Source organism: Homo sapiens, chromosome 8 (assembly GCF_000001405.40).
Source record: "Homo sapiens chromosome 8, GRCh38.p14 Primary Assembly".
In the NCBI taxonomy this organism is placed as follows: Eukaryota; Metazoa; Chordata; class Mammalia; order Primates; family Hominidae; genus Homo; species Homo sapiens.
The window spans coordinates 103,297,734-103,319,831 of NC_000008.11; the positions used below are offsets into that span (position 1 = coordinate 103,297,734).

Consider the following 22,098-nt stretch of genomic DNA (forward strand, 5'->3'; position numbering starts at 1 on the left):
GGAAAATATTCTTCCTACATAGAAATTTATTCTGCAATACATCAACTATCCAGCTCTTAATGATGTTAATATTTCTTCATCACTACCTGTCTCCCAACATCAGTAAGCTTTTGATAAAACTGGGGAGGAATTCCCCACTCCAAATTCGTCTTTCCCCACAGATTCCAAAACTCTTACTCTGGTTGTTCAGGGTTGTCCTTCTAGGTATGGAAATATGACATTCCTTTTCTGCAACAGGATGATTTATCTGACAAGAATAGCCTCCATCTACAAGTTACTTTGCATTTTTCAAAGTACTTCTACAAGTTCATTTGCTTCTCATACTATTCTGCCTGTTTCATAGGAGGGCCTTACAGGTTAGGTGTAAACACTTGTAACGAACTTGGCACTATTTGACTTACAGCCAGTGCTCAATTAACGTTAACCATCATTACAACTATTGTCATTCCTATATTGTGAGGAAACTATGCCCCTTAAAGATTAGGGTAATTTATCTAATATCTATGACAGAGTTGGTACCCCAAACTAGGTTGATTTCTACAGCAGTTCAACTTCCTATTAGGGTTTGTATCAATAAAACTGTGGGACCCGCCAGGGCTGGAATCCCACTGCTACCTGAGCATCCAGTTGGTGACCAGGCTCCCCGAATTAATAAAAGTATTTGTTGTTGTTTTTATAGCAGTTGTCCAGGAAGTATCTCCTTTCGAACTCAAGTCACTTGGGCAATTGGCTTTACAAAGCAAATTGGCTCCGTTTAAGGATTCTTGACTCCTGAAATCCGCAAGGAAGTGGGTTCTTTTAGAGCCAGCGCCAAGAGCTTCAAAAAATCCTTCTAAGGTGAACCCCTCCGGACCCGGATAGCGAGATGGGGCTCAGCCTTGCGCCTCGGGGGTCGTAACAGACGGCAAGGTGGAGGTGGCTTCCCGGCCCCGCAGCCGGACCTCGGCACCCCGAGCCCGTTCACCGGGGCCGGGTCCTGGCGGGCCGCGGAGTGAGGCCGGGCGGCGCAGCGCAGGCGGTGCCCGGGCGCAGGGCCAGTCCCGCCGCCGCCGCCGCCGCCGCCGCCGCCGCCGCCGCGAGCCCGGACCTGCCCGCCCGACCTGGCGGCGCAGTCTCGCGGGATCGCTCAGCTCTCGCTCCCCGTGCGGCTCTCGAGGCAGCTCCAGTCCCGGACGCAACCCCGGAGCCGTCTCAGGTCCCTGGGGGGAACGGTGGGTTAGACGGGGACGGGAAGGGACAGCGGCCTTCGACCGCCCCCCGAGGTGAGGCTTCCACGGCTGGGACTGGGCAGGGGCCGGGCGGGTGCCGGGGGAAGCGGGGAGGGCCTCGAGGGGCGAGGGGCCGCGGCTGGGATGAGGCGCGCCGGGAGCCGCAGGTGCTGGGGAGGCAACGGCGGGACGGCCCGCACCTGAGTTTCCTCGGAAGCGGGAACCGGCTCTGAAAGGCGATGCCGGGGCCCCGCGGCGCCGCGCAGGCCAGGAACGCTGCTGTCTGGCTCTAGGCCTGGGGCAGGTTCCCGGGTGTGGGGCGCTGGCGGACCGGGCATCAGTGTGTGTTGGGGCGCGGGTAATTCGTAATCCGGGGCCTACAGCCTTCCTCCCGCAAGGGGACTGCCTTCGCCCTTCCCCCGGGACAGATTTGCGCACTTTCCTTTCGACGGCAGCACTACACCCTCCTAGCCAGTGAAAACTGCAATGTTGCTCCTCCACTGGAGGAATCCTAAAAGTCTCCCTCTAGTTGGCCTTACGAAAATCGAGAAAACTACATACCCAGAAGACTGCCACAAAAACTGACTCTTCAGAGTCTTTTACAAGTTTAAGAACTCTTTGGGTCTTAAGGAATTTCCCAGGGCCTTAGTTTTCTTGTACTTAATAAGCTTTCCAACAGGGGCCCTTAGATTGTATGCTTATATTAATCCTTTATAATTTACTCCGAATCACCAGCTTTCCTTTTTTCCTCCATCTTACTCTTGCCATTCCCTCTTTTTAACCCTGTCTTCCATACAGCACCAACCTCCTAGCATCGGTTTCCTAGAGGTGCAGCTTCCTTAGCAAATGATATATTCCATGCTAAGGCAGGTGGAAGAGTATCTCGTTAGGACAGAATTTTCCGTTGTTTTTCCAGTGTTTGTTACCTGGGGTGAAAATCTTAACTCTGCACTTTGACTCCACATTTGAGTTTATGACAAATGTTGCTGATACACCCTCCTTTTGTTTTTACAGTAATTGACCCAGGACTCATTTTCAGGAAAGCCTGAAAATGAGTAAAATAGTGAAATGAGGAATTTGAACATTTTATCTTTGGATGGGGATCTTCTGAGGATGCAAAGAGTGATTCATCCAAGCCATGTGGTAAAATCAGGAATTTGAAGAAAATGGAAATGTTTACATTTTTGTTGACGTGTATTTTTCTACCCCTCCTAAGAGGGCACAGTCTCTTCACCTGTGAACCAATTACTGTTCCCAGATGTATGAAAATGGCCTACAACATGACGTTTTTCCCTAATCTGATGGGTCATTATGACCAGAGTATTGCCGCGGTGGAAATGGAGGTGAGTAGTGCTTCATACGTTTATTGAATAGTAGTTTATGCTCTGTTCTAGAATAAACTAGTAAAAATAAGTCTATTTTTAAACAGAGCCGATTTCTTCAAGTTGTGTACAAGTTGTGTTTTGAAAAGTCCTTTTGAAAATTAAATCCCTCTACTGACTTATGTTTTGTGTACCTTTGCGGCCCTGTTTAGTAGATTCGTTTGAATAGGGTTCATTTTATATAATGAAGTATGGTTACACATGATTTCTAAATACCTTGTACCTAGAAAATATTTTGCTTTCCTGAATCAAGTATGATAGTTCTTCTAGAAATGCGAATTCTGAATATTTTTCTACTTCACTGAACATGTAATATTTATTGCCTGGACTAAAACTGAAGAAATTTACAAGTTTTTATAAGTAGTTGTAATATTCACTTGGTACAGTTTTTCTGAAATAAATAAATTATCAGAATATTTTGTTGCTGTAGACTGTATTTTAAGGCTATCACAAAGTCACTAAAAAGTGACTTTGTTTTCTAAGCATAGCACTTATATGTTCTTTATAAGATACTTGTTAAAAGAAACCACTTGGGAGGAGTACAGTGACACTAAAGATTGCCTTAGGTGCCTTAGTTACCTGTCTCTGGTTTAGAGATATGCAAATTACTAGGGAGTGTGAGAAGAAAGCTACCTGTACAGACAGGAACCTGCCTTCCCATACAGATTTGTTAGGTTGTTAAGTCTCCTGAAGGAAACTAGACACATGCATTGTTTTTGTAGTTTTTCTCCAGAAAAACAGAATAGTAAAGGCTTTTTTCCCTCAGATTGTTGCTAAGAGAGGAAATCCCTACAAATTTAATATATATACTATTTTTAAAATTGATTAGATTTGATTTTGCAGCTTTGAAAGTTTTCTATTGTTGTTCAGTTGAATAGTTGTCTGACTGCCTCATTGTGGACTCATGTCTGGAATAGGAAAGCTTATAAATACTAAGTAGATGTTATTTAAAAGGATAGTACAGATTATATTATTGTTATCTTTCAGTGGTTTTTTTCAAACTGATGCTAGATGTCCTTTTGAACTGAACAAATGATGCACTGAGACTTTCATGAATCAGAACCATTTTGATGGTTCAATCTGATTCAATATGAAGTATATAGTGAGAACACTGTGAAGCAATAATTACATCATTCATTCACTTTTTTGCTGATGATAATATGTTTTGTAGTGTTCATGTTTTAATAGTGTTCCTAAATTTTTTAAATCTAATTTCCTTTGTATGTGGTAACTACATACATTTTAAGGTTTTTGTTTTTTCTTTTAGAGATGGGGTCTTACTATGTTGCCCAGGCTGGTCTCAAACTCCTAGGCTCAAGTGATCCGTCCTGCCTCAGCATCCCAAAGTGCTAGGATTACAGGCGCGAGCTACTGCACCTGGCTGACCATTTTAAGTTTGAATGCTAACAGTGACCTTATAAATTCATATCACCTAGACTCAAGAGAGATGCATCCCTGCTATTAAATGCCTGTAATTATAAGATGGTAGCAACTAGCTTTGTTCTGCACGTCTTTTTAAAACCAAATTTTTTTTACTTTCAAAAAAATTACTTTTTAATTTACCTAGCTTCTTTCCCAAGTAGTTTTGTGCCTGGATATTATCAAGAAGGCTTTTTGTTCTTACCTCTTTTATATGATTGCTAATACTACCAATCTCTTCATTATATAATTTTCCACTTATAACTAACCTTTCTCATAGCCTTTACTAATGAAGTTTTTTTTTTTGCTATAAATCATACTTCAGTAAATTTAAGGATACAAAAGAAGAGAGCCATCAAGCAGTCACAATACCAGCATTAACCTAAGTCTATAGAAGAAAGGAAAGAGAAATGAAAAGGCAAAAATAATGTCACCCTGGCTCAGACTTTTAATCCCTATATGTAATTTCTCAGTGTATACTATTGTGTTTTTCCTACTGCCCCTTTCCTATTTATCCATATACAGTAGTATTCTCTTTTAGTTCCTGTATTTGAATGTCCAAAATCCTATAAGTTGAGAGTTGTAAGTGACCCTAAAGATCATATAGAGCTTCTTAACCTTTTTTATGACATTAACCCCTTCTCAAGATAAGAGAAGTTTTAATATTTAAATAAATAAAATGTGTAGGATTACAAAGAAAACAAATTATATTGAAATATAGCTCAGGTAAAGAACCCCCGAACCCTTCATTATACAGATGAAGAAACTGAAACCCAGAAAAGCTGCGATTTGTCCCTTTGAGCACTCTAATCTGATAGTCTTCTCTGTCTACATGGACCATAATGTCATCTTTAACTGGTTTTTTTTTAGGCCCTTGTCCTGATTGGATAAACAAGATAATATTTCTTATGATTTAGAATGCAATGTGTAAATTTCAGACTTTGCTACTTATTTGCAAACTTCATTTAGATAAAAATTAAACTGGGTGATTGTTTTACCTCTGTTTAGCTCTGTCTCTCTTTTTCCTTCTTACAAGTGCCTTGAATACAAAGTCTTGTTAGACCAAAAATAAAATCTCTGTGGCGCACACCTGTAGTCCCATCTACTCTGGAGGCTGAGGTGGGAGGATCACTTAAGCCCAAGAGTTGGAGGCTGCAGTGAGCTATGATCGTTCCACTGCACTCCAGTCTGGGCAACAGAGTGAGACTTCAACTCAACAAAACAAAATGAAAACAACAAAAACAAAGCAAAAGTTAACTCCCTAATCTTCAGTCTCTCTAGTGGTGCCACAATGATTTTATTATAATTCAAATTTGTGCAGTCCACTTTAGGGTTAAAATCCTTCATCATTTTCCCTAAAGCTGGGGAAAAAAAGACCTGGTTCTAGAGCACTCCAGGCCCTTCATGTGGGACCCTGGCTGCTTGTCCAGTCTCTCATCTTGTACCTTCCCACATTGCACACTCTGCTTCAGCCAACTGACCTATTTGGAGAATTCAAATCCATATTACTGTCCATCACCTCTGTATCTTTACACACACTCTATCCTCTGGTGAGCCGTCTGTCTACCTACCTTTCTTCACCTGCTCAATTCCTTCAGTTCTCAGTTAAAGCAATAACTGTTTTTAGCGAACCCTTCTTTCACCTTTCTCCTGAGCAAATTTAATCACCCCACTCTACACCCTTACAGTACTTATAATGTACAGTTGTTCTTATGCTATTTTACAGTGAATCTACATGTCTCTAGATTGAGAGTTTGTTGAAGGTAGGGATGGTGTTTTTTTTTCATCTGTATCCCTAATACTAAGTACAATGCCTCTGAGCATGGTAGAGGCTACATAAAAGCTAAATAAAGAAAAAGGTAGGATTTTATGTCCCAATAAGGTAGCAAAGGGAATTTTCCCTCCAAATCTTTACATTCCACTTCTATCATCTACAGTGTCCAAGTCAAAGACATACTAATATTTTTAGGTGGTTTACATATCATTCTTTTTCATTCTGTCTGAGCCTAGCTGTAATGAAATATATCAGTTGACATCCTCTATTTTGTTTCCCACATTAGCTCTACACATATTCATTAGAATTTGCTTAAAGAATTTGATTTTTAACCATTTCTAGTTATTTATATGAAGTAAAGGAATTCAACTTTTGATCGGACCGTTGGATTATAAGCTATATGAGTCAGTTTTTTTTTTTTCAAACATTGTACTTTAGTCCTTAAGTGTATATTCCAGTTGAGTACTAAATTATAGCTGCTTGTAACTTGGCTTTTACTAAAAATGTGTTTTATAGCTTCTCTAAAGATCAGATTGGGTTTTACACCTCCAACCCGATTACCTTTAGTTTCTGCTGGTTCCTATTGAATTTCCAGGATTCACTGTGAATTAGTGTTAGGATGAGGGGCTGAAAAATTGCCTGATGGCTATGGCAATGAATTGTACTCTCTTAGTCACTGAGAATTCCGTATAAGTCAAAAGATCTATCTCACTCCTTTTTTGTTCCTAGTTTTCATTTTGTAACAGCTAGCCTGTTTTATAGAATTTAAGCATTTATGGTCATTTTTAATCTGTGATTATATGAGATGGTTTAGAGCAGTGGTTCTTAAACTTTAGTTCATAGACCAGCAGCTTGTGAGCTTGTTGGAAATGCAAGCTCACAGACTCCTATCCCAACTTACTGAATCATGATCTCTGAAGATGGAGCGCAGCTGTGGTTTCACAAGCTGCCCAGGTGTTTCTTTTGAGTGTTAAAGTTCAAGACCCACTGGTTTAGAAGTTTGGATTGCAAATTTTTACTGTAAAAGACCAAATTATTTTGACTTTCCAGACCATACAGTCTCCGTCACAGCTATTCAACTTTGAAATTGTAGCACAGAAGCAGTCAGACAATATGCCAACAAATGAGTGTGGCTGTGTCTCAATAAAACTTTATTTACAAAAACAGGCAGTGGGCTATATTTGGCCCAGGGGCTACAGTTTGCTGAACCTTGGTTTAAAGTACTTGAAAATGTTTTAAGGATAGTATAGAATGAAATAAGTGGACATTATTGTGCATTCTTATGTTAATACATTAACTGAGTTATTTGTTACTTACTTTCCACATAAATTTTTTAAAGTAAAATTTATCACAAACCAAAAGGATCTGACTGGGACATCTTGGTTCTTTAGTTTTGTTTCAGAGATTGCTTAAAATGAGGGACTTCAGTTTTTTCCTAATTTTATTATGTGAACCTGAAATCATTTGTATTACAAAGAGTTAATTTACAATTCTGCATAGTAACGGGGCTTTGTAATGAAAAGGATGTACAGTCTAACTCTCCCAAGTGGAAAAACAAATGGCTACTGGTTTTCCATTGTGTTCCTTTTGTTTCATATCTAGAGCATTGTGAGATTGAGGTCCCTTGAGAGACTGATTTCATCCAGAAAGAGCTGAGACTGATCTAGGGAAAATGGAAACAGGAATGTTGTATTTTTCTTTTTCAATTGCCTTCATTGAGGTCTAGGCAAAAGCCAGGTCACGTATTGTGTTTGGAGCAGCAAGTGGTCATTCCCTTTTTAAACAGTCTAAAGGGAAGTGGGCCAAAAGAAAAAAAACAACTTTCCTTTCCACCTGTTAATATGTGCTGTTAGAATGTCTCTATTCAGTTAAAAATAAATGGAGAAAAACTGGATAAACAGACTTTTAAGGAAAATATCTATTTCTGTTGTATAGTGGCTTTTAAGCATTTTTATTTTCCTGCTTTTAGAAGAGTCCAGTCCCTTCCTGCTTTCACCTTTCTTCCATATTCTCTACCCTTGTATGTCCATACACAAATAAAGAAAATGTTTAGTGAGATTAACCTGTTTGTTTTTCAGGAAAGACTATCTGAAAATAACTGTAGCTATTCTGAAAGTAAGACATTAATCATATAAAATGAAATAAATAGTGAGAAGTGTTCCAAGCCAGTTGCGTGTATAATGACTACTGTTGTGTTTTAAAGGTAGAAACCTTCCTTCGTGATGTTGCATTGCAGTAGCAGGGAAAGTCCCTTGACTCCTTCTTTTGAAACTGCAGAATAAGGGCAGGCCTGTATGTGAAGAGAAAGGATATTTCTCCTGGGAGGCTCTGCTGATAAGCACAAGGTTCCTAGTCCATTCCTTAGTATTCCATGGGAAGACTGTTGTGATTATTTCCTTTCCCCAAGAATGTGGCATGTAAATAATGAAGCTTTATTACTCTAGGTTATATATTTGTCATGTGTTCATTCATATTTATTGAATATGTACCTGAATATGTAGCTCTCCCAGAATTACAGTTTTTCAAGTTCTAAGGTTTACATTAAAAAAGTAATTTATTCTAGACACATTCCTTTGTAGTATCAATCAGTTAATATGTACATTTGTCTAATTTCCAAAGGTACTCTCTTCTGGAGAAATGATTTAAATTTTCTAATGGTCCCTCACAAGAAATAGTTTAAAAATAACAAGTTTTCCATTATGGAAATAATGTAAATTCCTGCTTTTTGTTCTCTTGTATTCCAGGCTCCACTTTACATTTTTTAAAGAAGCTGACTTGCCTGAGATTGATCACATTCGTGAAAATAGGTAGCAAAATTTGCACCACTTTCCTATACAGTAGTCCATTGACATTCTCAAAGAATTTACTCAAGACTTTTGTAACCACTTAAACAGTATTTGCCCAGTGAAGTCTAACTGAAAACATTTAAGGGCCCCTTTAGACTTTAGTGAGCCTGTTGTTTTGCTAAGGTTCATCACTTTTTTTTTTTTTTTTTTTTTTTTTTTGAGACAGAGTCTCGTTCTGTCACCCAGGCTGGAGTGCAGTGGCGCCATCTCGCTCACTGCAAGCTCCCTCTCCTGGGTTCACGCCATTCTCCTGCCTCAGCCTCCCGAGTAGCTGGGACTACAGGCGCCCGTCACCAAGCCCGGCTAATTTTTTTGTATTTTTTTAGTAGAGACGGGGTTTAACCATGTTAGCCAGGATGGTCTCAATCTCCTGACCTCAAGATCCACCCACCTCGGCCTCCCAAAGTGCTGGGATTACAGGCGTGAGCCACCGCGCCTGGCCCCAGGTTCATCACTTTTTTTAATGACATTTTAAATTTCCTTCACTCAGTTTTAATCACCATCACTGTAAATCGACTTTGTTTTTGGTGCCAATTTAGAGCAAGAAATATAGCTTTTCTCACTGCATGGGAGTTACTGTGTATGTCACCATGAGTAGAAAGCACAAATCCTGAGCTTAGGATCAGAGGCTTTGGAGTCACTTGGTCTTGTTCACTGGTGATGTGGCTTGCTTCCATGTACCAGTGGGATTCTGATTCATGCTTCAGAAAAGTGACAAACGTTTATGTATCCCATATTTTCAGTACTCAGGGAAGCAAGGCACTGCCAAGATACTGCCACAGGACCACTCTGCTTAGGTTATGCTTTATATATTTTTAAGAAACCAAATAGTTCCTTCTTTTGACCCCTCTCAATTAAAATTCTAGCCCAGACTTTCCCTTCAGGATCTTACAGTGCCACCAACCCCAGGCCCATATTATGGTTCCTTTCATTATCATATTATTATAGCATCAGGAGCTAGCTGGTCCTTTCCCTGTATATTTCACTGAGACTAGCTGGTGTTTATTCATTCAACAAATATTTGAATGCCTAAATAAATAAATATTTGAAGCACTGTTCAGATACTTGACATACAGTAATGCACAAACAGACCTATATGCCCTCACAGAATTTATATTCTAGTGGAGGGAATGTAAAACAACCTATCTGTTTTTGTCATTGTACTTTCAGTTCTACTTTTTGACAAAGGCTTATTTTCTTAGATTACTTTTTTGCCCTTGTTTACTCATTTCCAAAAAATACTTTTAGACTTATTTTAATATTATTTTGCCCTGGTCATTCTTTCATTGATTTTATATAGCTCTTAATTCTTTTAACTCTGAAGAAGGAGCCTCCTTTCCTTGTGTTCTAAGGTGTGTTTTTTTTTTTTCATGTCCTTTCCATCTTAGGGTACCCAGACTGGTTAAGCAGAAAAGGAATTGATTATAAGAGTAGCAGGTAGCTCATAGAATCGCCAGGTGGGCTAGAATTCAAGCTCAGGCTGTAAGGAAACATGCTACAGCTAAGATGCTGGCACAGGTATGGTCTACTTGGGAACTTATAAGCAAGGGATTTCAGTGAGGACAACTCTTGGATGGAAATTATCCAGGATACTTCTTAACCTGACACTAGATAGTTGGTTGATCCTGCTGGAACATGATACCATATTGAGGGCTTAAGGTTGGTTACTGCTCTGCTTCTGGCAAATGAACTACTCAGCAGTAGCCAGATCACCCCAAGAAGGAAAAGTCTATGCTATTGGATCTGGGCACTCTTCTGCCACCATGGCCGTTTTGTTCCTGAGCCTGTTAAGCCTATACTGGTGCAACTAGAGAAAAGGCTGATTGACATCCACAGAGTAGATTATTTAGTCTACACATTTAAGAGCCTCCTCTGTCTTGGGGCCTTTGGGTTTGCATTCACATGCAAAAAAAATTTTTTTTGAGATTATAGGCCCATTTTGGAGAAGTCCAGTCACACACTGCTTTTCCGGACTCCTAATACCAGTTCTGTAGAACTCTTCCAAGCTCTTGTTGCTTGCAAGTCCCTATCTTGTTGTACCATTAGCTATAGCCCATGAATCAATATAACTTCTTACCTGAGACCATCTTTCTACTGATAACATAGACAGTGATTGAAGTTCTGCCTGCTAGGGCCACCTCTGAATGGAGTTATAATCCTATAGTAGCTCACTTACAATAGCTGGGGCCAGCTATTGTAAGCCAGGCTGTAATTGTTTCTTCATGAGTCATTTGGTGAGAGGGAACTCTGCTTGAAGACGTAGGTGTGTTTTAAGGAAAGAATTATAATATGGCAGAAGCAGGCATTCTGAGAATGCAAGCAATATGCTACTTTCCCGTATCTTTGAGATCTATCCAGCCACTTGAAGATGGAATGCAGTTGGTCCCTGACATCATGAGTAGGTGAGTTCAGTAACACTCAATTCATGAGAGGTAACTTGACCTGATGATCTCTAGATGTTCTCTCCTGTTTAGTTTCTATGAGGAACTAGTAGCAAAAGCCAAGGTCCCTTTTAATTATGTAGGGTTAATCTCCTCATCTGCACTTGTATCTTACTATGGCATCTAGGGTACATGTCTATGGCCTCATCAGCTTTATGTCTTTGATAAGTTAGATTAGTGTGATGTCCTGTGAAGTCGGTGATATGTTTCACTGACTGAAATTGAGGCACAGAGCTGAAGAGCTGATGATGTTCCCCTAAAGCTGAAGCTCTTAAGCTTTGATGTGCATCAGAATCATCTGAAGGACTTGTTAAAACACAGATCACTGGCTCCATCCCTGAGTTCCTGAATCAATAGGTCTGGGATGGGATGGAAAAATTCCACATCTAACAAGTTCCTAGGGGATGCTGATGCTGCTCACTCAGGGGCCACTTGTTGGGAACCACTGCTCTAAGGCAAGTTGGCAAAGATATGCTGCTGTCCCTACTGGGTGAGAACAAATTGCTTTTGTAGAAGAAAGAACTGGCTAGCTTAGAGAGGCATACAAAGTGCCTGAGCTTTACTATTTGCTACAGGAAAGAGACCACATCTGGAGAATCACCTTAGCCAATTGAGTTGAGGTTGCTTAAGACAATCCACTGGAAAGTTGAAATGAGCAGGTGGTAGGAACTGTTACCCCTGAATATGTTTCTAGTGGTGTTGCCAATCTCTGAAAATCCCCTTGATCTGCAGTATTGTTTTTGATTTTCTTTCATGGTAGGGAGGGAGACCTCTAATGGTTTTTGTTTGGCCCCTACCATAATAACATTTATCCAGGAAACAAATATGCCTATTGTGTTTTTGCTAAATACAGCTATTTTAGGTGTACATACATGGACTTGGAAAATTGCAGTGGGTTGGATTTAGGTCTCACTGAACCCCTGTCAGAAGCCCATTTATCATCTTACCTCCAAAAGCCCAGTCTCTCTGAAGCTAGCACACTGAATCTAGAATCTCTGAGAAATAACCCCATGTCAGTATGTCTTAGCCCCATCTAAAATTGTATTCTTTCCTCTTCAATTCGTAACCCTCAGAAACCAATATAAATTAACAGTCTTACAACTAGTTTGTAGGTCTTTTTTTCAGATTTGATTTTGACTTGATGCTCCCAAGGCGTGCTGGGGTGAAACTCTAGTTACAGGTTGAGACATTGAAGACTGGTGGGATGGGGCAGGGGGCTATTTATTTTCTTCTTACAGAAAGGGTCTACCTTGAGAGCTGCAGGTTCAGAGCACTCTGCGATATCCTGAGCCTTGTCATGTGTCCCCACTACAGAACTCTGGGTCTCAGTTTCCTAGTTACAATATCACCAGGTCTCTTATGTGAATGGGAAGCACATTAAACTGATATAATTTAGCCACCTGCAGATCAAACTGTGCTTGGTTTTCAACTCCTTGAGCCTTAAGTCCTTTTTGTCCTTTTGTGTGTGTGTTTCATTTTTTTTAAAGACAGGGTCTCACTCTGTTGCCTGGGCTGGAGTGCAGTGGCACAATCATAGCTCACTGCAACCTGGAACTCCTGGGCTCAAGTGAACCTCAGGCCTCAGCCCCGGAAGCAGCTGGGACTGTAGGGCTGTGTGCATTGACAACCTGCTATTTTTTTTTAAGAGACAGGGTCTTGCTATGTTGCCCCGGCTGGTCTCGACCTCCTGGCATAAACCAGTCCTTCCACCTTGGCCTCCCAAAGTGCTGAGATTACAGGTGTGAGCCACCATGCCCAGCCTAGTGTTTTACTTCCCACCTTGAGTCAAAAATTCAGAGATGCCAGTTTGTTATTCTCTTCCTAAACCAAGCAGTACCATTAGAAGTCCTCACCCTACCCTACAATCTGATAACTCATGCTCGTTATATTATTTTCTGGTTCTCTGGCAGCAGGCACTCATTTGATCTCCCACAGCCTCGTGTTCATGGGGCATATCATTCTATTATGTACAGAGAAGCTAAGCTAAAACCAAGCTAAGTGGTTACAAGGATAATTTAATTCACTTTGCCATGGGTTGCCAGATTTCCATCTTTAAATACTAACAGGATGCTCACTGCCTTTGGCCTTAGACCAGAAACCCAGTTCTAGAGTTCCTCCTGTTTTGCTGAGATCACTTGCAAACCATTCTTTATGTTTTTTTTCTGTACTAGTTGGTCTTCTTGATTACAAACAACAGAAACCAATTCTGACTAAGCAGAAAATTGATGGATTTTGGACAGCTTGTAAGATCAATGGGAAGGCAGGAGAACCGGGTTCAAAATGTAAGGAGGAGCAAAGGGAACTGGGGCATAGCTAAGGTCATACCATAGGATTAGTTTGTCACCAGTGCCAATACCATTGGATACTTCCTGAGCCATTGTCACTGGATGCTTATTTGGCCACTGCAAGGATTACTGATCGCATTGCAGCTTCCTCAAATAATCTGACTATATCTGTTCTTTTGCATAACCCTCTCCCCAGGAATCACAATACCCAGAGTATACAGATGGCCAAGCTTAGATTAGGTGCCTATGTTTTCATTGCCAGGCTGTATCCCTGCATCCCTCTTAGCTTCCATAGTGTCTTACCTACTTTTGGATTCCCCCAAATAGTAAATATTCACTCTAGAGCACAGTGTAAAACAGTGTTACTCTCTGGGAACAGTGGTTCATACCTGTAATCCCAGCATTTTGGGAGGCTGAGGCAGGAGAATCACTTGAGCTCAGGAGTTCAAGATCCGTCTGGGCAACACAGACTCTATCTCTACTTGGGAGGCTGAGGCCTGAGGCTCACTTGAGCCCAGGAATTGGAGGCTGCAGTGAACTATGATTGTGCCACTGCACTCCAGCCTGGGCCACAGAGTGAGAACCTGTCTCTTAAAAAAAAAAAAAAAAAAAAAGTGTTAACTTACCAAGGAGAAAATTTCACCATAGCACCTACAGTTGTTTTGAAATTGATCTCCAGTTCTTCTACTCAATTCTTTGTTACCCTCTTCATAAACTTTTGAGCCATAGAAGTTAGGTATCATAAATCTCCTTAGTGATCATCGAGTTCATCACTGTCACTTTACTGATGGATACTCTGAGACTCAGAAACAGAAAACTACCTGCCAAAGGTAGCACAGGTAGTTAAACTAAATAGTTAGAATTAAAGTATTAGAATTAAATAAGAATTAGAACTTAGTTAGAAATAAAATGCTAGCATTATTTCCAGTGAAGGATTATAGAAAATACTCTATGTATTTTGATTCTCATTTTTCATTTATCTTACTGTTGGCTCAGGCTGTTTTTCACGATAGAGATGTGAATTGCCTTCTCACTTGCCCTCTTCTTTCTCATCTCTGCCAGTACTAATAGTAACTGCTATTTCCAGGGATTTCTGCCAGGGACTGACCATTTCCTTAAAGGAGCCTACCTTTTATTTCTTGATTTTTGAAACTGTAATTAATAACGCTGTTTTAGTTATTGAATGGTAGAATCTCAGAACCAATATTAATAGTTATTAGATGAGTTTTTTGAGAATGAAATTTGAAAGGAGGAGTTTATAAGTGAGATCATGAAAGCACTGGGTTACTAAGAGAGTTGAAGAAGGTGGTGTCACTAAAGGTGAGTAAAAGGAACAGACTGATGCGACCAGGTTTGATATTTGCTCAATTCATAGATTTGCACTTTAATTCATGAGTTTAATTCACAGGTTTGGCACTTAACGTGCTAAATCCTAGTTTAATGATGTGATGAAATTCATAGCATAAAATTAAGGACATAAGAAATATCTCAATGAGTCATGTTAGATTTGGTTTCTGAGAATGGTACCCAGGACATTTTGAGGAAGAACATAAAACATTTCAATCACAATTTTTACTTCAAAAGACTGTGAAAATATGTTCATCCCAGTTATGTTTCAACTGATTGGTATAATGAGTTCAATACTAGGCTGACTACCCATTATTTAAAGTGCTGTGATTTGTTCTGAAAGTACTCCATATGATGGAATACTTGCTCTTGCTTCAGGAGATAACGCATCATCTGGAATGTGATCAACATAGCTTGAGGTTTTATAGTCTTTGATATGTATCCTGTGAACATTTATTTTTTTTAACTGAAGAGTTTCTTTCATGTGGAAGAGTCCCAATCCTCTTGATATATTTTCTTCCCTTCATCCTCATTGGCATTTTTGCCTGTCGCTGTGCTTTGGGAAAGGGTAATTTTCAGGGAGAAATGGGTAGCAGCACAGAGTGAAGGTTAAAGAGGACATACTCTGGAGTCCTAGGAACATAGGTTCATATCCTAGTTCTGCTTCTTACTACTATTGTGACTATACAAGTTACTTAACCTCTCAGAGCCTCAGTTGCCTCAGCTGCAAGGTGGAGAGAAGAACAGGTTGTGATAAAGGAAAATGGTATATGAAAAAGCACAGTGCCTGGTTTATGGTAAGTACCAAATAAGCCAAAGCTCTGATTTATTATCAGTAGCCATAGAATTGGTAAAAGTAGCATTCGATCAGGAATAAAGATACCTAACTTCTAATTCAGAGTACATTTTGGAATGTGAGTAACAATTTTAATAAGAAATTGGCTTCAGTTTTCTCACTTGATCCAAGGGCTTAGATTAGGTCAGTGGTTTTCCAATTGTGATCTCTGGAGGTGCTCTGAGGTCACTGGTAGCAAAGGGGAATGGTGAGAAGTATCTCAGCAGGGAGAGCTTCCTTTTCAGCCCAAGAAACTATGCCTTTATTTATTTAGTATATCGGCCTCCTTTTAACTTCTTATTTAAAGAAAATGTTTCTTGGCAAAGTGTGCATGTGTGCACACACAGACACACATACACTTCGAAAATAATTAACTTAAAGGTTTTCTCTCAAGTCCCTTCCAAGTCTAAAATTCTTTAAGTCTATTCATCTGCAACTGAACTTGGAAGTTGGTAGCCCACACTGGATCTGACCTGAGACTTGATTTTTCTGTGTGTGTGTGTGTGTGTGTGTGTGTGTGTGTGTGTGTGTGTCAGGGAAGGGGGGGGCCCTGTTTCAAATGTATAGATTAAAGTGCCAAAATCTAAAATTTGGGAAATTACACATAACAATCTAGGTTCTGTTTTCTTAGGAAAAATGGATATACCTGACAATTCTATGCCCCCATTTCCAAATAATAGTCTGCTGGAGTTGAGTAGCAGCAGCTTCCCAAATACTCCCTATCATCTTACAGGCATTTTCATTTACCTGCCTGGCCTCTGAAGGTATCTGAGTTTTCAGCATTCAGTTTATCCTCTACACAGTGCAGGAACATCAACATTATTGGATTAGCCAACTTTGGCACTGTAAAAGAATTAAATTAGGGAAGTGACTTGTGTTTTCCATGTAAGAAAATTGTTTTTGTATAGCAAAAGTACATGTATTGCATTCATTTTGCCTGCCCTTGAACTATATAATTACTTCTTAAGTGCTGACCACCAGTTAATCATGGCTTCTGAGTTAGAAGAATTAAATAAACATAGTGTGTTTTAATTCTTTCCACCAAAGGATCTGATTACCACATAGTCAAAAAATTTAGGAACTAGGCTTTTTTGGGACAGTAAACAAAGAGTTTACCACAGTTTACTAGTTGCCCGCAGCTCCCCTTCTCCTACCTCAGGCTCAGAGGAGGATTTGCACACTGTCTGGGCACTCTCTCCCCTTCACGATGGAGGAAACTGAGAAAAGTACTGTGCTGTTTGCACTCCAAGTTCCTGTGAGGTGACAAAGGATCCAATCTCAGAGCATCATTCAAATAAAAGCAATAATATATGTCAACCATGGCAACCCTGTCTCTGCTCAGTCACTTGCCCCATCAGGACAGGGGAACTTCCCACTGGTCCAACATCCTTCATAGCTATTGTCCTCTAATTGTTGGGTGTGGGTTCTGTATATGCCCTTTAAGTCAGACTTGTTAATTGTAGTCTGTAATCAAGGCTTATATTTACCTATTAATTTTTGTCTGCTTGACCGTTCATTTACTAAAGCAGATATATTGAAATTTCTCATGACCATGGAAGTGTCCATTTCTCCTTATAGTTTTATTGCTTTTTGTTTATATGTTTTAAGGCTATTTTTAAGGTGTATACAGTGCTCAGCAATGCATTTCAAAGTATATGTGTTGCACTTTATCCAGAACCTGAATGTTTTGTGGCAGGAGATATTTAGTTGGCCATACTGATGAAAGAAGTTGTCATTCCTTCTTTTTATCTTTCAAAAATTTCCCAAAGCTTATAGGGAGCCCTTTCTTTATTTTTTTAATGCAGTTATGGATTTGTTTTTTACCTTTAAACCTTTTCTTTCATTTCAATGGCATTTCGAGTGGAAGGAGATGCTAATATATAGAGTCAGTGTATTTCCCTTGAATCAGAATTTTCATCTTCTCTCACTCTACTTATTCTCCTTAGGTAATTTCAGCCAGTTATTTCAATTACCACTTTTATACTGATGACTTGTAAATCCATATCCTTAATTTAAAGTCTCACTTCTACGTAGCTTTATTTAACTGCCTGCTAGTAGATATTTCACACTCAAATGTGCACTTCAGACTGTCCATCAACTGGTAAATGGTTAAGAAAATTATGGTACAGCCATACAGTGGAATATTACTCAGCAATTAAAAGGAATGAACTACTGATGCATCAGACAACATGACTGAATCACAAAACAATGATGCTAAGTGAAAGAAGCCAGACAAAAAAGAAAACACACTATATGATTCCACTTACGTAAAATTATAGAAAATACCACTCCGCAGTGACAGAAGGCAGATCAGTTGTTGTCAGGCGTGAGAGTTACTGAGGGGGTGAGGAGGATGGAAGAGCAGGAGGGATGACAAGGGAGCCAGAGGAAACTTCTGGTGGTGAGGGATACATTTATTACCTTGATTGTGATAATCATTTCAAAACTTATCAAATTGTACACTTTATACATGTTCAGTTTATCATACATCAGCTATACCTGAATAAAGCTGGAAAAGAAAACCCTCAATACTAAAAGGCTTTGAACAGAAAAATAACAGTCCTTGCCCACCCTTTTCCACCCATATCCCAGTCCTGCCCTTGAGAGGCAGCCTCTTTGAACTGTTTTAGGTGTTCCTCTGGTATGCAGGCCACATTCTAACTAACAGGTTTACTCTGTTGGTTATAGATTAATCAGTTTAGCACTTTAGGCCGTTTCTGTTTATTCTTTCCTATTAGGGTAATTGATAATTCATTTCTCTTACCCTGCCACTTTTACTTCTCCTCCTGATACAGTTTTTGATTAAATGAATAGTCAGTGATAATATTACTAGAAATATTAAATATTGTACACTGCTGAGTCAGGTAGTATACTTTGATTACATTTATTTTTTTAATACCCTCCCAACAATTAACACAGTAGTTGTATTTTCATTTGTTTTTTATGTAACAATGTCTGACTATTTTTAGATATCCTAACAGACTTGTCATACACCTAGCAGCAATTTTCCTAGTGCTCAAAATAACATATACTCTGTCAATCTCAATCCCCGCTCCTTTCCCTTGGAGACCTTTCTTCTTCAGCCATCTGCCCTTCTGTCAAATGTGTTCTGATTACTTCTGGACTAGATTTGTAGTTGTCACATGGAGAATTTCTCTTGTCATTCTTCAGTGTTGAATCAGCTAATTCCTGGGTCCCATATTATTTTCCTTCCTTGTTTATTCATATATTCCTTCAATTTGTTTCAGGAATATTACATCTTCTAGTTGCTTCCTAAACAGGGATACTTGAAAGTTTAAATTTTGTATTCCTTACAGTGCCAAAAATGTCAGTAGTCTACTCTCTAAATGTTTGGGTGGATCTAGAATTCTAGGTTGAAATGCATTTTTCTTTAGAATTTTATAGTCATTTTTTCATTTTCTTCTAGCTTCTGATATTGTCAAATATTCACAGTTTAATTTAGTTACATGTATTCTGTTTTTTTCCCCCCTCTGGAAACATTTATGACCTTCTCTTTGTCTTGATGCTCTGAAATGTTTTATTGATATGCTTTGTCAGTGTTCATTTATTGTTTTGGAGAATCATGCATTTATTCTGTAAATATAGAGAAATGGCCATGTAGCAGACACTGCTTTAGGCACTGGAGATAGAGCAGTGAACAGAATAGACAAAATCCTTTCCCTCTTTGAATTTACACTCTAGTGGTAAAGGCAAAAATTAAATAAACTAGTACATAATGAAATGCCAGATAGTAATAAGGATTTAAGAGAAATGCAAACCATGGTAATGGGAAAGATAAGAGCAGGATAATTTTAGATAGGATGGGCAGGAATGCCTCTTTGAGGTGAATTGAGTGGAGACTCAAATGAGGGCACAAGACTCACTATCTGGGTGAAGAGGTGAGGGGAACAGCAAGTGCAAAGACTCTGAGACAGAAATACACATGGAACTATAAGAAGTAGAAGTCCAGTTTAGTGGCAATGGAGTAAATAAGAGACAAAGTGGTCAGAAATGAAACTGGAGACATAGCGGGGAACACGGAAATTTAAAGGCTCATGGGAATTGGAAAAGACTTTGGAATTTATTTTACTGGAGTCTTTGAACAAGGATAAACTTACGTTTTAAAGAATCGCATTGGTTGGAAAATTGACTGTAAGATTAGCAAGTGTGGGAAGTAGTGAGACCTGTTAGGAGGCCATTTTAGTAGTTGAGGTGAAAGATAATAGTGGCTTAGACTGGGTGGTAATAGTGAGAAATGGTCAGATTTGGAATATACTTTAAAGGGAGAGCCAACAGGATTTGCTGATGGGTTGGAGATGGAGTGAAAGAAGAGAGGAGTAAAGAATAAGTTGTAAGACCAGCCTGGCCAACATGGTGAAACTTCGTCTCTACTAAAAATACAAAAATTAGCCGGGCGTAGTGGCATGCGCCTATAGTCCTAGCTGCTTGGGAGGCTGAGGCAGGAGAATTGCTTGAACCTGGGAGGCAGAGGTTGTGGTGAGCTGAGATTATGCCACTGCACTCCAGCCTGGGCAACAGAGCAAGACTCTGTCTCAAAAAAAAAAAAAAAAGAAAGAAAGAAAGAAAGAAAAAAGAATGAGTTGTAAGATTCTTGGCCTGAGCAACTTGGTAAATGGTGGCATTATTTACTGAGATGGAGAGTACTAAGGGAGTGTTTGGGAGGCAGAGATACGGTGGGATTGAGTTGTATTTTGCATACTTTGGGTTCAAGATGCCCATTAACAGCCAAATGGAGTTGTCCCGGAGCAGATGCTCATTCAAGTCTGTGGTTCACAGTAGACATGGGGACTGGATGAGTTTCCCTTGAGAGTCAGTAGAGATAGAGAAGAGGTCTTGGGGACTGAGCTCTGGAGCATTTCAATGATCATAATTGGGAAATGGAAGAGGACTAGAAAAGGAACAGCCAGTGAGACAGCCAGAAATCCAAGAGAATTCGTGTCCTAGAAGACAAGTGCAAAAGGGGCCTCAAGAGGAAGCTAGGAGTCACTGTGTCGATTGCTGTTAAGAGCTGAGTAGAAGGGATGTTCAGAATTTACCATCAGATTTGACAATGTGGAGTTTGTTGGTGACTCTGGCAAGTGATTTCACTGGAATAATCCATGTCTTCTTGAAAAATATATGATTGAATAAAATAGTAGTATCCCATTGTGTATGAAGAGTTCATAAGTCTGATAGAGGGAGATTTAAAGATTCTTTTGCAGTATAAGTGAAAAAGCATATACTTTAAACAGTAAATATATTAATTTTATTCATTTGTTATTAAAATGTTTTCTAACTGTATCTTGATGTCTTTAATAGCATTTTCTTCCTCTCGCAAATCTGGAATGTTCACCAAACATTGAAACTTTCCTCTGCAAAGCATTTGTACCAACCTGCATAGAACAAATTCATGTGGTTCCACCTTGTCGTAAACTTTGTGAGAAAGTATATTCTGATTGCAAAAAATTAATTGACACTTTTGGGATCCGATGGCCTGAGGAGCTTGAATGTGACAGGTAAACAATGTTTTTCATGGAAAGCTACTAATGGTATTTTACTACTGGTACTAGCTCTCTGGGATGTTAGTGAGAAGCTTTCATTATTTAATTCCATAAATGTTTATTACACACTTAATATATGTCAGGCACTATGGTGCTAAGTGCTGTGGACACAAAGGTGGGCAAAAAACAGACTTGGTTCTTGCTCTCAGGGAACTTACAGTGAGGTGAGAGGGACAGACAGTAATCAAATAATTATGCAAATAAGTGCAAAATTATGACTGTGATAGATACAACAAAGGAAAGGTAGATAATTCTATGAGAATATATAATGATACCTTTGACCTAAACTGGGGAAAGGGGAAGGAAATGACTGTTGAGCTAAAGTACGAAGGGTAAGGGTAAGACAGAGGTAACTAGGCAATGAGAGGAGGGAAGAGCATTTCGGGCAGTGGGAATAGCTTATTTAGAGACCCTGCAGGGCCCCTGAACAGGGAGTGAGGGAGCATGGCATATACAGGGAATTCAAAAGCTAGTATAGCTGGAGTGATGAGAGTGAGAAAGAATATGGTGCAAGATAAGGAAAGAGAGAGAAGCAGCAGTCAGACCACCCAGGGCCCATCTTTCATATTTTTATGCTGAAAGCAGTGAGGTCTTTAATATTTTAAGACAGGAATGGGTAGCACAATCCTGTGAGCTTCTGTGTAGAGCATGGCACCTGTGTCAGTCTCCTGAGGGTTGGGCAGCACTCTGGCAGTTTCTGTTAGGAATCCAGGACACTTCCATCCTCCAACTCTGTCAGCCAGGTGGATGGGAGAGAGAAGGTAGAGAACTCACGCCTTTTCTTGAGTGCCTCAGATGGGAAGTGTTATACCTTTTCCACATGCATTCCTGTTGGCAAGATGTCAGTCATGTGGTTATAACTGAAACAAATAGGGAAAATAGTAAATGTGTGTCCTGAAGGAAAAAAGCATTCAAGGCAGAGGACATGTCAGGTGCTGCCAGTCAAAAAGAACATTACCTTATGCTATTTCACTAGAGTGACTGGGGCAAAGGACAGATC

General features: G+C 39.7%; 1 protein-coding gene, 1 long non-coding RNA gene and 1 other non-coding gene across 10 annotated transcripts in view, besides 8 other annotated features; 2 read left to right on the forward strand and 1 right to left on the reverse strand.

Moving 5' to 3' along the window:
• LOC105369147 (uncharacterized) overlaps positions 1–1,085 on the reverse strand; it is a 55,281-nt gene extending 54,196 nt beyond the window's left edge. For all 4 annotated transcript variants that reach the window (NR_148216.1, NR_148213.1, NR_148214.1 and 1 more), the window contains exon 1: positions 616–1,085. This is a non-coding gene — a long non-coding RNA (uncharacterized LOC105369147). The remainder of the gene's footprint in view (positions 1–615) is intronic.
• Positions 741–1,241: an enhancer, noted in NCBI's record as "H3K27ac hESC enhancer chr8:104310702-104311202 (GRCh37/hg19 assembly coordinates)". NCBI's record gives its function as "activates a minimal SCP1, AML or CMV promoter by ChIP-STARR-seq in primed H9 embryonic stem cells {active_cell/tissue: H9 hESC(primed)}" and the evidence as "EXISTENCE:reporter gene assay evidence [ECO:0000049][PMID:30033119]".
• Positions 761–22,098, forward strand: part of FZD6 (frizzled class receptor 6) — a 34,373-nt gene continuing 13,035 nt past the window's right edge. Inside the window, exons 1-4 of one of the 5 annotated variants that reach the window (NM_001164616.2) lie at positions 1,165–1,262; positions 2,223–2,351; positions 2,467–2,551; positions 20,857–21,053. In NM_001164616.2, the coding sequence (NP_001158088.1) occupies positions 2,471–2,551; positions 20,857–21,053 (278 nt within the window). In that variant the 5' untranslated portion in view covers positions 1,165–1,262; positions 2,223–2,351; positions 2,467–2,470. Of the gene's footprint in view, positions 838–1,097; positions 1,263–2,222; positions 2,552–20,856; positions 21,054–22,098 lie in introns of those variants that run through there. The other 4 variants (NM_001164615.2, NR_133921.2, NM_003506.4 and 1 more) reach the window with 4 other exon arrangements.
• Positions 846–895: a silencer, noted in NCBI's record as "silent region_19455". NCBI's record gives its function as "represses an Ori minimal core promoter by ATAC-STARR-seq in GM12878 lymphoblastoid cells {active_cell/tissue: GM12878}" and the evidence as "EXISTENCE:reporter gene assay evidence [ECO:0000049][PMID:35858748]".
• Positions 906–1,075: a silencer, noted in NCBI's record as "silent region_19456". NCBI's record gives its function as "represses an Ori minimal core promoter by ATAC-STARR-seq in GM12878 lymphoblastoid cells {active_cell/tissue: GM12878}" and the evidence as "EXISTENCE:reporter gene assay evidence [ECO:0000049][PMID:35858748]".
• Positions 1,196–1,445: a silencer, noted in NCBI's record as "silent region_19457". NCBI's record gives its function as "represses an Ori minimal core promoter by ATAC-STARR-seq in GM12878 lymphoblastoid cells {active_cell/tissue: GM12878}" and the evidence as "EXISTENCE:reporter gene assay evidence [ECO:0000049][PMID:35858748]".
• Positions 1,196–1,742: a biological region, named in NCBI's record as "H3K27ac hESC enhancer GRCh37_chr8:104311203-104311703".
• Positions 1,242–1,742: an enhancer, noted in NCBI's record as "H3K27ac hESC enhancer chr8:104311203-104311703 (GRCh37/hg19 assembly coordinates)". NCBI's record gives its function as "activates a minimal SCP1, AML or CMV promoter by ChIP-STARR-seq in primed H9 embryonic stem cells {active_cell/tissue: H9 hESC(primed)}" and the evidence as "EXISTENCE:reporter gene assay evidence [ECO:0000049][PMID:30033119]".
• Positions 1,308–1,602: a silencer, noted in NCBI's record as "tiled region #2116; HepG2 Repressive DNase matched - State 4:PromP, and K562 Repressive non-DNase unmatched - State 20:ReprD". NCBI's record gives its function as "represses a minimal TATA promoter and a strong SV40 promoter by Sharpr-MPRA in HepG2 and K562 cells {active_cell/tissue: HepG2 | K562}" and the evidence as "EXISTENCE:reporter gene assay evidence [ECO:0000049][PMID:27701403]".
• Positions 1,596–1,645: an enhancer, noted in NCBI's record as "active region_27788". NCBI's record gives its function as "activates an Ori minimal core promoter by ATAC-STARR-seq in GM12878 lymphoblastoid cells {active_cell/tissue: GM12878}" and the evidence as "EXISTENCE:reporter gene assay evidence [ECO:0000049][PMID:35858748]".
• SNORD173 (small nucleolar RNA, C/D box 173) lies at positions 11,245–11,348 on the forward strand. The gene has a single exon (NR_145795.1). It is a non-coding gene; the product is annotated as a small nucleolar RNA, C/D box 173 (small nucleolar RNA).